Genomic DNA, 16,722 nt, shown 5'->3' with positions numbered 1-16,722 from the left:
TGTTTTGTTTTGAGACAGAGTCTCACTCTGTCGCCCAGGCTGGAGTGCAGTAGTGCGATCTCAGCTCACTGCAACCTCTGCCTCCTGTGTTGAAGCGATTCTCCTGCCTCAGCCTCTCAAGTAGCTGGGATTACAGGCATGTGCCACCACACCTGGTTAATCGTTTGTTTTGTTTTGAGACAGAGTCTCACTCTGTCGCCCAGGCTGGAGTGCAGTGGTGCGATCTCAGCTCACTGCAACCTCCGCCTCCTGTGTTGAAGCGATTCTCCTGCCTCAGCCTCCCGAGTAGCTGGGATTACAGGCATGCGCCACCACACCTGGTTAATCGTTTGTTTTGTTTTGAGACAGAGTCTCACTCTGTCGCCCAGGCTGGAGTGCAGTGGTGCGATCTCAGCTCACTGCAACCTCCGCCTCCTGTGTTGAAGCGATTCTCCTGCCTCAGCCTCTCCAGTAGCTGGGATTACAGGCATGCGCCACCACACCTGGTTAATCGTTTGTTTTGTTTTGAGACAGAGTCTCACTCTGTCGCCCAGGCTGGAGTGCAGTAGTGCGATCTCAGCTCACTGCAACCTCCGCCTCCTGTGTTGAAGCGATTCTCCTGCCTCAGCCTCCCGAGTAGCTGGGATTACAGGCATGCGCCACCACACCTGGTTAATCGTTTGTTTTGTTTTGAGACAGAGTCTCACTCTGTCGCCCAGGCTGGAGTGCAGTAGTGCGATCTCAGCTCACTGCAACCTCCGCCTCCTGTGTTGAAGCGATTCTCCTGCCTCAGCCTCTCGAGTAGCTGGGAGTACAGGCATGCGCCACCACACCTGGTTAATCGTTTGTTTTGTTTTGAGACAGAGTCTCACTCTGTCGCCCAGGCTGGAGTGCAGTGGTGCGATCTCAGCTCACTGCACCCTCCGCCTCCTGTGTTGAAGCGATTCTCCTGCCTCAGCCTCTCGAGTAGCTGGGAGTACAGGCATGCGCCACCACACCTGGTTAATCGTTTGTTTTGTTTTGAGACAGAGTCTCACTCTGTCGCCCAGGCTGGAGTGCAGTAGTGCGATCTCAGCTCACTGCAACCTCCGCCTCCTGTGTTGAAGCGATTCTCCTGCCTCAGCCTCTCAAGTAGCTGGGATTACAGGCATGCGCCACCACACCTGGTTAATCGTTTGTTTTGTTTTGAGACAGAGTCTCACTCTGTCGCCCAGGCTGGAGTGCAGTGGTGCGATCTCAGCTCACTGCAACCTCCGCCTCCTGTGTTGAAGCGATTCTCCTGCCTCAGCCTCTCCAGTAGCTGGGATTACAGGCATGCGCCACCACACCTGGTTAATCGTTTGTTTTGTTTTGAGACAGAGTCTCACTCTGTCGCCCAGGCTGGAGTGCAGTGGTGCGATCTCAGCTCACTGCAACCTCCGCCTCCTGTGTTGAAGCGATTCTCCTGCCTCAGCCTCCCGAGTAGCTGGGAGTACAGGCATGCGCCACCACACCTGGTTAATCGTTTGTTTTGTTTTGAGACAGAGTCTCACTCTGTCGCCCAGGCTGGAGTGCAGTGGTGCGATCTCAGCTCACTGCAACCTCCGCCTCCTGTGTTGAAGCGATTCTCCTGCCTCAGCCTCCCGAGTAGCTGGGAGTACAGGCACCCTCCACCACACCCGGCTAATTTTTTTTATACTCTTTTTGTTTTTTGTTTTCTGTTTTTTTTTTTTTGTTTTTTTTTTTTTTAGTAGAGATGAAGTTTTGCCATGTTGCCCAGGCTGGTCTTGAACTCCTCAGCTCAGACAGTCTGTCCCCCTCAGCCTCCTTTCAAAGCGCCAGGATTGCAGGCACGAGCCCGGCCGGTTTGAGGGTTTTCGCAGCATCCTGGTGACCGTGAGTTTGGTTTGCAAACCTGCAGGAGAGTCGGCTGTAGCCGTCAGTTCTCGGGGGAGAACTCCCCCCTGCCCAGCTCGTACCAGCAGCTCCAGGTGAAGGCTGCTACTTTCATTCCTGGGGCCGGAGGCGCGCTGGGGATTTACTTGGAGCTCATTCTTCCCACTGAAGGTGACGCGTTCTGGGAGCTTCCCCGGAGGACCCTGCGTTTTGCCTCCTCTTCCCCAGAGCTCTGCAAGGCTGTGAGAGATTTCGGGTGAGCCCGCTCGGCCCACGCTTCTGAAGGCAGAGCCTGTTCAGGCTCCACGGGCTTCCCCGGGTTCTTCCTTCCAGGCAGCTGTGGCCTGAGGTGTCCTCCTTTCCTGCCAGCCTGTGGGCGCCGTCTAGAAGACGTTTGTCAACTATTCTGTCCAGGGTTCTTGGCAGTTTTCATCAGGAAGGTTGGTTTGTGTACCCAGGTCATTGCTATATTGCCAAACACAGGAGCCCGAGAGCTCACTGCAGAATATTCGCGGGGTCAGTTCCGTACCCCAAATAGCAGAGCTGTGTGAACCCAGCGTGATGAAGGAGGAAGAGCCGCAGGCTCCACAGTGGGACCCCCACAGCGAGAGACGGGAAGGCGCCGCTGCGGGAATGCGTTGTGGGCTCGGGAAGATGCACTGTGGGATCGCGGGCTTGGGGAGATGCATTGTGGGATGGTGGGCACAGGGAGATGACTGTGGGATGGTGGGCTCGGGGAGATGCATTGTGGGATTGCGGGCACGGGGAGATGCATTGTGGGATCGTGGACTCATGGAGATGCACTGCGGGATCGCGGGCTCGGGGAGATGCACTGCGGGATCGCGGGCTCGGGGAGATGCATTGTGGGATGCTGGGCTCGGGGAGATGCATTGTGGGATGGTGGGCTCGGGGAGATGCATTGTGGGATCGCGGGCTCGGGGAGATGCACTGTGGGATTGCGGGCTCGGGGAGATGCACTGTGGGATGGTGGGCTCGGAGAGATGCACTGCGGGATGGTGGGCTCGGGGAGATGCACTGTGGGATGGTGGGCTCGGGGAGATGCACTGCGGGATCGTGGGCTCGGGGAGATGCACTGCGGGATCATGGGCTCGGGGAGATGCACTGTGGGATCGCGGGCTCGGGGAGATGCAGGGACCTCCTGCCCCAGGACACAGAGGTCACGTTCTGAATCACAGGGAAGGGGTGTGCCCTTAGGTAAAGCTGTGCTGAAGGAGCACTCAGTCGGCAGCTACTGCGGGAAGCCTGCTCTGCCCCAGGTCACGGAGGCGGCCTCTGTTCCTCCTACATGGGGATCAGAGAAAAACAACTGAGTCTCACCGTGGGTGAGGGTCCTGCAGCGACAGCAGGGTGGGCACAGTTGAGGCGCTGTCAGTGGGACCCTTGTGACCTGGGGTGAGGGTCCTGTGGGAGTAGCAGGGTGGGGACAGTTGGGGCGCTGTGGGACCCTTGTGACCTGCGGTGAGGATACTGTGGCAGTAGCAGGGTGGGGACAGTTGGGGTGCTGTCTGTGGGACCCTTGTGACCTGGGGTGAGGGTCCTGTGGGAGTAGCAGGGCGGGCTGTTTTCTCTGTGTGGACACTGGAGCTTGGACCCAGTCCTGGATTGATCCAGGCAGTCAGGATTGTGGGTGCAAAGGCCCTGAGCTGTGGTCCACTGGTATGCGGACTTCCTCCCTGGACCCCTCCTCCATGGCAGTTGGTTGAGGAGGACACAGCCCCGTCCCCTGAGTAGTTGATGGAGGAGGAGGAGGACGCAGCCCCATTCCCTAGGTAGTTGGTCAAGGAGGACACAGCCCTGTCCCCTGAGTAGTTGATGGGGGAGGACGAAGCCTCGTCCCGAGTAGTTGATGGGGAAGGACACAGCCCCGTTCCCTGGGTAGTTGGAGGAGGAGGAGGACGCAGCCCCGTCCCTTCAGTAGTTGATGGTGGGGGAGGACGCAGCACCGTCCCTTGGGCAGTTGATGGAGGAGGACGCAGTACGGTTGCTGATGCTGTTAACTGTTTCAGATGGTGTTTTAACATCACGGGATGAGATCAAATGTCCACCTCGCAGGTTGTGTAGAGATGCAAGCAGGAGACTCTTGAGTGAGTGTTCTGGGGCCTGCAGATATACTGGGTGAGGAGAGTGCTGGTGCTGAGTGGGGCCAAGAGCCCGTGGGCGTGGGCTGTGCACCGGGTGAGGGGCTGAGGCGTGTCCGCAGCAGTACCTGGTGGTCGACCCCTTCTCCTGGCTGTGTGGTTGCCTGCCCTGCCTCTGCCTCTCAGAATGTGAGTCTTCCGGGCTCCAGGGACAGGGTTGCCTGTGGACGGCACCTGTGCCTCTCCACGTCTGAGCTCTCAGGCGTCTGGGGTGCGTGGCTGCCCTTTTCCCCAGGTCCCTGCCAGGTGTGGTGGGGTCAGTGGTGTGGCTCATGGGAATCGGGAGTGGGTCCTGGCTGGGCTCTCAGGTGCCTGGGGCACGTAGCTGCCCTTGTCCCCAGGGCCCTGCTCGGTGTGATGGGGGCTCAGTGGCGCAGAGCCGCCACCCAGAGTGGGGTCCATGGCAGCATGGTGTGGCCTCCTGGGTGAAGGTGGGCCCTGCAGTGGAGTACGTGTGTGGTCCCCCGCAGGGATTGCAGTGTGTCCTCTCCCGGCTGGGATCAGGTGGCCTCAGCACTGTCGGCCCTAGAGAGGCCCCGTGTGTTGTCCGGGTGAAGAAGGCGTTCGATGCTCCCAGGTTCTAACTGAGCGCTGTCTGTCGACTCTTCAGGTTCAGACACGGAAAGAAGAGCCTCTGCCCCCGGCCACGAGCCAAAGCATTCCGACCTTCTACTTCCCCAGAGGACGCCCGCAGGACTCCGTCAACGTGGATGCCGTCATCAGCAAGATCGAGAGCACCTTCGCCCGGTTCCCCCACGAGAGGGCCACCATGGATGACATGGGCCTGGTGGCCAAGGTACGTGTCACGCGTGGGACGTGGAGCAGCCGAGGTGGTACTGCGGGCATGTGAGGGTGAGGCGGAGCGGCCGTGGTGGGTGCGTGTCACACGAGCGTGAGTGAGGCGGCACGGCCGAGGAGGGTGCGTTTCACACGTGTGCGGGAGCGGCCCAGGTTTTCTCTGAGGTTATAGTTGTGGTCTGAGGTTTGCTGTCTGGTTGCTGCTGTGTGAATTCTTAAGCATCTGAAATGCGAGTGGGAATTCCGTCTGCATTCTCATCCTGATGCTGTGAAGAGCGCAGGCCCGCCCTGTGCCACCCTCCCCTTCTCTCCCCTCCGGGGCCAGTGGCGCCAGCTCTCGTGGCTCTCGGAGGCCGTTCTGCACCCTCCTGGCCTTGCCCCTTTCTGCCCGAGGAGCGGCCATCCCAGGCTGGGCAGCTGTGGACCCGTCTCCTGGCAGCAGCCCCATGGGCCCATTTCTAGACTCACCCTGAGTGCTGCGGCGCGGCGTGCATCATTCGCCGCCTGCTTTCCTTCTCAGCTGCATGCTCTCCAGGCTGACCGCCTGGACGCCCACAGATGGAGCACACTCAGTTTAGTGTCTGTCCGTTACCAAGGCAAGGCCTACACCAGAGATGCGTGTCTGGACCCCTGGTGGGTGGTTGTGTTTCCAGGGACCTGTGCCCGCATCTCCAGCCTCCTACCCTCCAGGTGGAGTCGCTGGCCAGTGGATGCTCCCACCCCTCCAAGTCAGAGCCCCAGAGCCTCGGTGCACGGTACATGTGAGCCCCTCACGGTGAGACCCCTGCCCCCCAGCCCTCTCCAGCTCTGCAGCTGTGAAGGGGGTCCTCGGGAGTGAGCAGGTTTTTGTTTTTTGGGTTTGCTTGTTTGAGACAAAGTCTTGCTCTGTCACCCAGGCTGGAGTGCAGTGGTGTAATCTCGGCTCACTGCAACCTCCACCTTCTGGGTTCAAGTGATTCTCCTGCCTCAGCCTCCCAAGTAGCTGGGACTATAGGCATGCACCACCATGCCTGGCTAATTTTTATATTTTTAGTAGACATGGGGTTTCACCATATTGGCCAGGCTGGTCTTGAACTCCTGACTTCAAGTGATCCGCCTGCCTCGGCCTCCCAAAGTGCTGGGATTACAGGCATGAGCCACTGCACCTGGCCGGGTTTTGTTTTTTTAACTTATTAATACAGTCTATTAAATGAGTTGGTTTTGGGATGTTAAACCAACCTTGCATTCCTGGGATAAATTCCGCATGGTCGCTGTGTCTCATCTTTTTTATATGTTGCTGGATTCCAATAATTTTGCAACTGGATTCACAGAGAAGACAGTGCTTGGTAGTTTTCTTGTGAGTCCTTTGTCTGGTTTTGGTTTTAGGGCAATACGGGTCTGAAAGAACACATTAAGTGTCCCCGCCCTTTTTCTATTAGGGATTGTGTTTTTAAAGTATTTTAAAAAGTTTTGTTTTATAAATATGTAAAAACCTCCATGGTTACAAAGTGAGCACTAACAAACTAGACACATTCAGGTAAGTCCAGGTTCTGTCCCTGTCTGTGCTGTTTCTACCCCAGAGGTAATAGTTTCCATAGCTTTGGTTTATCCTCTTATTGTTATTTTAGCTTTTAATATGAGCAATTATGTACAAATATGTGTATGAGTATGAACATACATACTTCTTGCATTTCTTAGAGAAAAATTAGCATGCTGTTGTACACTTGCATATTTGTTTTTGCTAAGTCACTCCGTATTTGTAGAGGTGTCCCTGTCTTGTACGGCAGTGTGGGGCCATGAAAGGACCAGATAAGTCACAACCATGCAAAACCATCTTCCAGTAAAAATTAGGATCATTCTATAATCATTTTTGTTGAAATATTAGAAACTTTCTTACAGTCGGTTGCAAACATGTAGTGAATGAAAAGAACTAATATTTACCTAGTATGCTGTAACTTAAAACACCAGAAGCATTAAGAATTGTTTCATCTCTCAGTAAAAACTTGCCAAAAGTAGTTACAGCAGTGCCATCTCCTTGTCCCGTGTGGAGTGAGCACCTGCTCCGTGCCCTGGCAGACTCACTCGACTTAACACGCCTTGCTCAGCTTCCGCGTTTTATCCTTGGTGCTCTTGAAGTTGTGGGGTATCTCTGAGAGTTCCTTCACTGGGAGGTCTCTTTGCTGGCATTCCGTCTGCTGGGACACCTTCATCCTTTTCAGTACAGCCTCCGTTGTGTGGAGAACTCACCCTCGCGGAGTGCGCCCGGCCCCACCCACAGGGTCTCTGCGCGCCTCGGGCTGGGTCAGACACCTCTTTTGCAGCTCACGCGCTGCGTCCGCTTCGGGTCCTACAAAGCCGCTCGCGCAGCCCAGTGAGGTTCCTGCATGGGACCCATGTATTCCCCTCAGTGCTTCCCCGCCACGATGCCCCTCCCCGGCCGCGGTGCTTCCCCGCCAGGGCGCCGCCCCGCCCTCCCCTACCCCCGCCGCGGTGCTTCCCCGCCAGGGCGCCCGTCCCCACGGTGCTTCCCCGCCACAGCGCCCCTCCCCACGCGGTGCTTCATCCCCACGGTGCTTCTCCCCAACGGCGCCTCCCCCCACCGTGGTGCCGCCCCCCACAGCGGCCACCCCCCCTCCGCGGTGCTTCCCCGCCTCGGCGCCTGGTTCTCATGTGCGCGTTTCATGTCATTTTCCTTCCAGGACTCAGTTCTCGGTGTCACCTCGCTTCCACGCACAGCGGCACTGGCCTTGGTGGCCGTCTAAGGTAGTGAGGCTTTAAGACTTGAAAGAACCTGGTCCGTTGGCTGGATGTCACGTTTGGTGGTAAAAAGCAAGTTTTGTCGTTGTCTTCGACGCCCCAGAGAAGCAGGGTGACCTGGGTGTGACCCAGCGGGGCAGGGGAGAGCTCTGAGACTGAAGTTGTGTCGCTTGCAGCGTCTGCACCGCTGGGAGTCCGAGAGACACCTCCACAGGCCCCACTGTGCCTGCACGCACCGACCCGGCCCTGCAGGCGGAGAGCATGGTGCTCGAGCACCCACCGTGACTGTGGGCAGAGGCCAGCAGGGTGTGCGCTGTCGCGACTTAATCCACCTGCGCTGTGGCGGCAGAACCCTGTGAGCGTCCCGCGTGTGTGGGGGCCGCAGGCAAACTTCAGCTTCCCCGCCAAGGCTGCTGAGCCTGTCTCGGTGGCGCCCAGCTCGCCGCCACCTGCAGATGTCCGTCCACGTCTCCATCGTGTGCCTTTGGGACGGTTTTCTGTGAGCCGGGCCCCCGGCCCAGGGGACGAACGAGTAGGGGTGTCACTGCCGTTTCGAGTTCTCCCCGTCGCGTGAGTGACTGAATGAGGGCCTGGAGTCACAGCTCCACACGCGTGTTGTCAGGCGGGTGGACTTTGGCCGGCGGCTGCTTGAGAACTCACGTCTGAGGGGACTTTGAGTTTGATGAGGGGGGTCCCCCCGTGGATCTTAGCCGTGGCCGTGCAGCGAGGTCCGTGTGTGCCTTCTCCTGGCCCGGTTCTTCCTGTCTGTGTGAGTCAGGGCTGATCTCATACATCATTTCCTCCCTTTCATCATTGTCACTCCTCTGTGTTTTCTCTGAAGCCGTTTGAGACAGAGTCATCAGCTCCTTCACCTCCACCAAACTCCACCCCCTCAGCTGCCCCCACAGGAAAACACACTTTTCTCTTTGTTAATTTCCTTCAAACGTTGTTGGCTAATTCAGGGTTTTCATTTATGGAGACTATTTTGATGATTTACATTTTTTCTAAAAATTTTTTGCGTAACTTAGAAATTTCTTGCTCTAAAGCTTTTCCTTGTCTTGTACGATTTACAAAATCTTGATCGTATCTGCATCATACATAGACACTTTCTTGACAGAATCATTTATTTCCGGTTCCTTTCTTGATCCGTCATGCTACACACTAACGTATATCTCTTTCAGTAAAGCAGCTGTCAGTGTTACAGATTATTTCAGTTCTTTCTCTCATGAATATCTATGGTCATCTTTTTTACATACACTTCCTTCTGTCATTTTTTTTAGTTTATTGAATAGTTTTTTGTTTGGCCAGCTGTATTGTCATATAATTACACACCCTAAGATTCACCAATTTTAAGTGTACAATTTGATCCATTTTGGTAAAGCACACACCTGGGTATCCATCCTCATAGGCAGGACCGGCCGTTTGTCACCTGCCGCGGGTGTCCCACGTGCCTCCTTTTGCACCTCATCATTCCCCTCTTTTCTCCCTGGCCCGGGCCAGCTGCAGATGTGCTTCCGGTCGCTGTAGCTTTGCCTCTCTTAGAATTTCACATGAGGACTCTTGGAGCATTTTGTCTGTGGTTTCTAACTTCTTCCTGGCAGCATCTTTATTTTAAATTTTATTTTGAATGGACAAGTAATATTTGTGTATACAGGGTACAGCAAGATGTTTCGCTATGTGTGTGTGTTGAGGACTGATTAAGTCCTGTGGTGTGGATACTGTGGGGCTCGCTGTGTGGCTGGCGAAGGCGTGGTTACCGTGGGGCTCGCTGTGTGGCTGGCGGGGTGTGGATACTGTGGGGCTCGCTGTGTGGCTGGCCAAGGCGTGGTTACCGTGGGGCTCCCGTGTGGCTGGCCAGGGTGTGGATACTGTGGGGCTCACTATGTGTCCCTGGCCGTATGGGCAGTTTCTTTTCTATCACTGAGTAGCTTCTGCTGTGTGTGTGCTCCATCTCTCCCCTGTTCCAGGGTTGATAGACGTCTGGTTGCTTTGGTTTTTGCTTCTTGTGAGTAAAGCTGCTGTGTGTCTGTGCACTGATTTACGCAGACATGCTTGCATTTTCCTGAGGTGATTAATACCGCAGAGGTGAGCTCTGCCTCATCTGGTGGCCACATGTTTAGTTTTGTAAGAAGCTATAAAACTGCTTCCAGGGCCCAGGAGTGGTGGCTCACTCCACTAATCCCAGCACTTCGGGAGGCTGAGGTAGGCAGATCACCTGAGGTCAGGAGTTCGAGGCCAGCCTGGCCAACATGATGAAACCACATCTCTACTAAAAATACAAAAATTAGCCAGGTATGGTGGCGGGCACCTGTCATTCCAGCTACTCGGGAGGCTGAGACAGGAAAATCGCTTGAACCTGGGAGGTGGAGGTTGCAGTGAGCCAAGATCGCACCACTGCACTCCAGCCTGGGCGACTGAGCAAGACTGTGTCTCTACGCAAAAAAACAAAAAACAAAAAACCCTGCTTCCGGGGTGGCCCTGAGTGACGCATTTCCAGGCAGCAGCGTTGACCCCTGCGGGCACGTGGCCACACGCTTTGCCTTTAGCCGTTCTGTGCGTGTGCAGGCGTCCCGTCCTGGCTGCACTCCTCATTTCCCTGATGTACGTGTTGACCACCTTACGTGTTTCTTTCTCATCAGTTTGCCTTTTTTTCATTTTGGGGCAGCTGTGTTGAGATATAACTGATGTGGGATGCATGGTGCGTGTGGAAGGTACAATTCAATGAGCTTTGACGTCTGTACCCACCCATGAAACTATCCACAGCACCAAGACAATAGGCGTCCCTGCATCCTTGCGCTTGAGCGGGCACGTGCGCTGGACTTTTCTCTGCTGCTTTCTGACGCGCACCTGCCCTCATCCCACGCTACCTCAGGCCTCCTTTCTGTCAATATAGATTAGCCGGAATTTTCTGGAATTTTATGTAAACAGAATCAGACAGCAGGCACTTTTTTTTATTATGGGAAAATTCACACAACAGAATTCACCACCGTAACCATTTGGAGCACAGAACTCGGAGACGTTTGTGGCATATACAGCACGGTGTTCCATGTGCGTGTGTGGAGGGCCGGATCGCGTGGTGTTCCGTGTGCGCGTGCAGTTCCACTTCCGGCTTTCTGGGGAACCTGCACGCTGTCTTCCCGAGTGGCTGCACCGTTGTTCGTTCCCACCGTGTGAATTTTAGAGCCGGTCCCTCCGTTGCTACGACAGCCTGCTGGGATTACATGGGCATCCTGTTGACTCCAGATGAACTTGGAAGAATCTTGACCATATTGAGGCTTCCGTCTCATGAACGCGGTCCAGCTCTCCCTTATTTCAGGCATCTTTCACTTCTTTCAGTACGCCTTGTAGTTTGGTCTTGTTCACGGTTCATCACATTGATACCCAAGCATTTCCTGTTTCTGATGACACTGTACGTGGTATTTTTTTACTTTAATATGATTGTCAATTGTGAATGTTGAGAAGCACTGTTAGGTTTTATATGTGGACTTTGCATTTTCTGACCAAGTTTAACTCAGTCATCGGCTCTACCAGCTCAACCTTTAAGTCCGGCAGAGTCTCTAACGCACGGTCAGGTCATCTTCAGGTGAGCACAGTTCAGCCTTTCTCTTCTCGTCTGCATCGGTGTCTCCTCCCTGACTTTCTGTACACAGGCTCGGCCTGCCAGTGCAGTGCTGGAGAGCCGTGGAGAGCACGCCCCTTCCCGCCTCGGGCTCAAGTCGTCCGTGACGCAGCGGCCCTGCCTGGCGTCCTTCATCAGACTCAGGAGGCCCCTTCCCTTTTGGTTTCTTGTTTGCTGGGAGCTCTTGTGTTTTTTTTGAGACAGGTTCTCATTCTGCCCCCGGGCTGGAGTGCAGTGGCATGATCTCAGCTCACTGCAGCCTCGACCTCCTGGGCTCCAGTGATCCACCCACCTCAGCCCTCCCGAGTAGCCGTGACTACTGGCACCCGCCACCACACCTGGCTGATTTTTTCTTTTTTGGTAGAGACAGGGTTCTGCTATGTTGCCCAGGCTGGTCTGGAACTCCTGGGCTGGAAGGATCCTCTTGCCTCAGCCTCTCATGGTGCTGGGATGATGACAGGCATGAGCCATCACGCCTGGCCTCAGTTTACTTTTTAAAATTATAAAAGTGCCTTGAAGTTTGTCCGGGATGCTAAATGTGTATTTCTGCGTGTATTGAGAGGGCAGTGAGGTTTTCCTTTGGTCCTGTAAAAGGTGAATGGACCTGACTGACGTCTGAGTGTGAAGGCAGCCCCGGTCCTTGGGTGAGCCCCCGGTCCCTGTTCCACCGCAGCGTGCATTGCCCGGCCACGCAGGGGTAGCGTCTGTGGTCATGAAGGACTGGTCTTGACCTGACTGACGTCTGAGTGTGAAGGCAGCCCCGGTGTTTGGGTGAGCCCCTGGTGTTTGGGTGAGCCCCCAGTGTTTGGGTGAGCCCCCGGTCCCTGGGTGAGCCCCCGGTCCCTGGGTGAGCCCCCGGTGTTTGGGTGAGCCCCTAGTCCCTGGGTGAGCCCCCGGTGTTTGGGTGAGCCCCCAGTCTTTGGGTGAGCCCCCTGTGTTTGGGCGAGCCCCTGGTCCCTGGGTGAGCCCCGGTCTTTGGGCGAGCCCCGGTCTTTGGGTGAGCCCCTGGTCCCTGGGCGAGCCCCTGCTCCCTGGGTGAGCCCCGGTCTTTGGATGAGCCCTGGTCTTTGGGTGAGCCCTGGTCTTTGGGTGAGCCCCTGCTCCCTGGGTGAGCCCCCGGTCCCTGGGCGAGCCCCAGTCTTTGGGTGAGCCCCCGGTCTTTGGGTGAGCCCTGGTCTTTGGGTGAGCCCCCGGTCCCTGGGCGAGCCCCGGTCTTTGGGCGAGCCCCTGCTCCTTGGGTGAGCCCCAGTCTTTGGGTGAGCCCCGGTCTTTGGGTGAGCCCCCGGTCTTTGGGTGAGCCCCCAGCCCCCGGTCCCTGGTCCACCACACAGTGTCACACTTCTCCTATGTGTTGGGTCCACATTGCCAGGCCTCGCAGGGGTTGCGTCTGCGCTCGTGAAGGACTGGCCTGCGGTCTCCTTTTCTTGTGATAGCTTGGTCTGGTTTAGCATCGGGGGGATGCTGGCCTCGGAGAGTTGCTTGGAAAATGTCCTTTAGAATTCACTTTTCTGGAGCCATTTGTTTAGAATGGGTGTTATTTTTATTTGAATGTTTGGTAGAACTCATCAGTGAAGCCATTTGGGATAGTTTTCTCTGTGGGAAGGTTTTTAATGACAGCATGAATTGTTTCAATAAACACAGGCTGTCTGTATCATCTTTTCTCTTTTTTTTTTGGAGACAGAGTCTTGCTCTGTCACCCAAGCTGGAGTGCAATGGCACCATCTCACCTCACTGCAACCTCCGCCTCCTGGGTTCAAGCCATTCTCCTGCCTCAGCCTCCTGGGTAGCTGGGATTACAGGCATGCGCCACCACACCCGGCTAATTTGTGTATTTTTAGGAGAGATGGGGTTTCACCATGTTGGCCATGCTGGTCTCGAACTCTTGACCTCGGGTGATCCACCCGCCTTGGCGTCTCAAAGTGCTGGGATGACAGGCCTGAGCCACCGCACCCGGCCACTGCCACCCACTTTTAGACCATCGGATCTCACAAGAACTCAGGATTACGAGACCAGCAAGGGGGCTGTCCACCCTCATCACCCAGTCACCCCCCAGCAGAGCCCTGCTCCAACACTCAGGATCACAGTTCCCCGTGAGACTTGGGTGGGGGCTCCGAGCCACAGCCCACCACTGGTTCATGTGACCCTGAAGACTCCTCCGGCTCCGCGATGTCACTCGCTCACATAGCTTGGCAGCGTTTTCACATCTTTACGTGTCTGCAGATCGTCCTCTTGTCCCGTCACCCGCCGAGGAACGCGTGCTGAACTTGCCGGCCGTGGTTGTGGCGTCCTCCTTTCTCCTCTCACACCTGTCGGTTGGTGTCGGCGTGCCCTGTGCGACTGTAGACGCTCGGGACTTTGTCTGCCTCGCGAGTCCCCCTCAGCAGCACCATCACGTGGGCCTTGGGGCCGGCGGTGTTTCCTGCTCAGGGAGCTACTCTGAGGTCAGCAGAGCCATAATGGAATAGGGTTCAGCAGTACACAGGCAGACGATCCACACAGAGCAAGGTGGGCAGACGATCCACACAGAGCAAGGTGTGTGAGTCCCACACGCATGTGCTGAGCGAGGGAAGCCAGGTCTAAAAGTCCGCAGATGGCCGGGTCCCGTTGCCGTGTCCTGGAAAAGGTGAACTGGAGCCACGGGGAGGAGGCCTGGGGGCCGTCGCCGTAGCGGACTGCGGAGGGGCCGAAGGGACTGTCAGGGCTGGCGGCCTCGTTCCCTGTCCTGGCCGTGCGGGTGGGCGTGCCGCCGCGTTGCCGGGCCCCACAAGGAGTCGGTCTTTCTGTGTGTCGATCACGAAAAGACTTTTAAAAGTCAGATCAGGGTATCTGATGTTTTATTCCCTTTCCCATAAGGATTTTGTGACATTCAGGTAAAACTGCTTTCCTTTGTATCTTTTGCATTTTAGAGTTGATTATCTCCATTTACTTTAGGATTATTTTAAATTATGAGCTAATTCATTTGGAGGTAATTTTCGGGTTTGGTGTGGTGGGGGGACTGTGTGCCCAGCACTCTCCCGCTCAGTTCTCATCCCCCAGACGCCGGGGGTGCAGCTGTCTCTGGTTGCAGTGTCATCCCTGTAGTCCCAGCACTTTGAGAGGCCAAGGCGGGAGGATGGCTTGCGGCCAAGGGTTCCAGACCAGCCTCGGCAACATAGTGAGACTTCACTGTAGAAATTAAAAAAATTACCCAGGCATGATAGCGCGCACCTGTGGTCCCAGCTACTTGGGAGGCTAAGGTGGGAGGATTGCTTGAGCCCGTGAAGTTGAGACTGCACTGAGCTGTGATCACACACTGCACTCCAGCCTGGGCAACAGCAAGACCGTGTCTCGAAAAACAAGTAGAATAAAAATGGATCACGCTGTGATCACACACTGCACTCCAGCCTGGGCAACAGCAAGACCGTGTCTCGAAAAACAAGTAGAATAAAAATGGATCACGCTGTGATCACACACTGCACTCCAGCCTGGGCAACAGCAAGACCGTGTCTCGAAAAACAAGTAGAATAAAAATGGATCACGCTGTGATCACACACTGCACTCCAGCCTGCAGGTCTGGACACATGAGACGCTATATCCTGCACGGCTGGATAGATCTGATGCTCCATCCCTGCCACCGGGTCATGACGGTGTGTCTTGCACGCGGTGAGGAGCACAGATGTGAAGGCTCACACATCCCCCCATCCCTGGGTGTTGAGCGCTTGGGGTTTGAAACCTGCACGGCCTGTGAGCCAGAATGGTCTCATGAGGTCAAAAGCGTGGGACTAGCACTAGCCCAAGGACCCGGTGCTGCACCCGGCTCGTTCCCTCCCACCGCACCGGGACGCCCTTCCAGGTGGCCAGGGCTGAGCTCCGTCAGGATCCTCATCACGGGAGCCGGCACGTGCCTGTGCGTCCTGCGGGGCCCGGCCCCTCCAGCCGCACACGGCTGCCTTCAAGTCATCCACAGGTGCGCCAGCCGGAGCGCGTCCTTTCCCATAGCAGCACTGCAATCCCCGCTGTGGCGCGCAGCCCCCTCTGCAGTCCCCCACGCCCCCCCGTGGTCACTCCCGCCCTGCACCTGTCAGGACGACTCTGCCACAGTTTATTCCTCCAGTCCCTGCTCTGGCGTCCGGCTCCTCTCGCCTGGGGCACCGTGAACCAAGCAGCCGACGTCCCCATCTGTGCAGGCTCTCACGGGCACGGGCCCTCTTCCCACTGGTGTGCTTCTGGGAGGACAGATGTCCTGGCCGGGCCACGGGGCTTTACGCTCAGCCGCCCCGTGGGCCGCTTTCCCGGCAGCTGCGTGGCGTCCCAGTTCCCCCAGCAACGCGGAGGACACCCAGCTGCCTGGCAGCCTCGCGGGACCTGGCGTCTTCAGTCCTTTTTGTCTCAGCCGCGCGTGTCATGTTCTTGTTGCCACCTCTCCATGCCCTGTGAACCCTGCCCTCGCCGGCGCCAGTGCTGGGCGCTTCCCCTTGTCTACGGCCACCGTGCACCCCTCTCCGGAGGGCAGTGCATGTCCACTCGGTCGTGTTCGGGCCTCTTTCTCACTGATGCTTAAAATTCTGCCTCTGAGTCCCTCGTCAGAATCTCGCCTTGCAGAGACATTTCTCCCTCTGTGTCATGTCCTGTCATGGTGTTCACCGTGCCGGTAGCTGACCCTGAGTCCTGCGCTGGGGCGGTGCAGCGGTGCTCCCTTCCTTCAGGGAGCGCACGTGTGGCCCGTGAAAGAAACCTTGGCCGCGGCAGAGCCGTGCAGCGTCCCTCGTTTCCTTCCAGGAGGGGCCGCTGTTTGGCCTTTCACCCTTCGGGCTGGGATCCCCTGGTATTCAGTTTGTGTGAAGTGTCTTTGCCTGTGGATATTCCACGGGGCTCTGTCCCAACTCACTTCCTTCCCTTGCTCTCTTAGGCCACCGGTGCCCGACAGAGACTGACTGAGTCTTCATTACTCTGACTTTACAGGAAGGGTTGAAACCGGGCAGTGGGACTCATATCCACCAACTTGGTCCCCCTGTGAGTTCTTTTGTGTTCCCTGGTAAGTTTTCACATGAGCCTGTCCGTGTATACTACAAACCCCAAAACAACAGGCCCTCGGTGCATGTGGATGGGGATTGCTGGACTCTGTGGGTGGGGATCGCGTGGACTCTGGGTCAACAGAGTCGTCTGGAGGAAACTGCAGTCTGTGAACTCAGCAGTGAGGTCCACCTCACCACGTTGAGGTCGTCTTTGATTTCACCCAGCCGTGCCCTGCAGTTTGCTTTGTAGACACTGTGTGTGATTTTTGTTCCATTTTTCGTAGGTTGATTTTTCATGCTCTTGATAGATGGCATTATTGAAGATTTTATTTTTAGTTGTTTGTTGCCAGTATATTGAAATAATTTATTTTTGCATATAGTCCTTGGATCCAGCAACTTTGCTGAAGATACTTATTAATTCCCGTATTTGGTAAGCATTTGGATTGTCTACACAGTGTGTTGCTTGTGAATCATGACGGTTCTGCCTCTTCTTACCCGTCGTCGTATCTTTCGGTCTTTCCCTTGCCTGCTGCCCTGGCTCGGCCGTCCAGGCGGCCTTGGT

The 16,722-nt window shown here is 56.0% G+C and overlaps 1 protein-coding gene across 8 annotated transcripts in view, besides 3 other annotated features; it reads left to right on the top strand.

The window, feature by feature from the left end:
• The window catches only part of PPP2R3B (protein phosphatase 2 regulatory subunit B''beta), a 52,975-nt gene that overhangs the window by 20,694 nt on the left and 15,559 nt on the right, over nucleotides 1-16,722 (top strand). For 5 of the 8 annotated variants that reach the window (NM_013239.5, XM_047442006.1, XM_047442001.1 and 2 more), the window contains exon 2: nucleotides 4,624-4,809. In NM_013239.5, the coding sequence (NP_037371.2) occupies nucleotides 4,624-4,809 (186 nt within the window). Of the gene's footprint in view, nucleotides 1-1,738; nucleotides 2,295-3,881; nucleotides 3,960-4,623; nucleotides 4,810-16,722 lie in introns of those variants that run through there. The other 3 variants (XM_047442004.1, XM_047442005.1, XM_047442003.1) reach the window with 2 other exon arrangements.
• Nucleotides 2,261-2,775: an enhancer, noted in NCBI's record as "H3K27ac-H3K4me1 hESC enhancer chrY:274174-274688 (GRCh37/hg19 assembly coordinates)". NCBI's record gives its function as "activates a minimal SCP1, AML or CMV promoter by ChIP-STARR-seq in primed H9 embryonic stem cells {active_cell/tissue: H9 hESC(primed)}" and the evidence as "EXISTENCE:reporter gene assay evidence [ECO:0000049][PMID:30033119]".
• Nucleotides 2,776-3,281: an enhancer, noted in NCBI's record as "H3K27ac-H3K4me1 hESC enhancer chrX:323668-324173 (GRCh37/hg19 assembly coordinates)". NCBI's record gives its function as "activates a minimal SCP1, AML or CMV promoter by ChIP-STARR-seq in primed H9 embryonic stem cells {active_cell/tissue: H9 hESC(primed)}" and the evidence as "EXISTENCE:reporter gene assay evidence [ECO:0000049][PMID:30033119]".
• Nucleotides 2,776-3,291: an enhancer, noted in NCBI's record as "H3K27ac-H3K4me1 hESC enhancer chrY:273658-274173 (GRCh37/hg19 assembly coordinates)". NCBI's record gives its function as "activates a minimal SCP1, AML or CMV promoter by ChIP-STARR-seq in primed H9 embryonic stem cells {active_cell/tissue: H9 hESC(primed)}" and the evidence as "EXISTENCE:reporter gene assay evidence [ECO:0000049][PMID:30033119]".

This window comes from Homo sapiens, chromosome X, assembly GCF_000001405.40.
Source record: "Homo sapiens chromosome X, GRCh38.p14 Primary Assembly".
In the NCBI taxonomy this organism is placed as follows: domain Eukaryota; kingdom Metazoa; phylum Chordata; class Mammalia; order Primates; family Hominidae; genus Homo; species Homo sapiens.
Note: the sequence above shows the minus strand (reverse complement) of the source record. Positions and strands in the feature narration are given on the sequence as shown.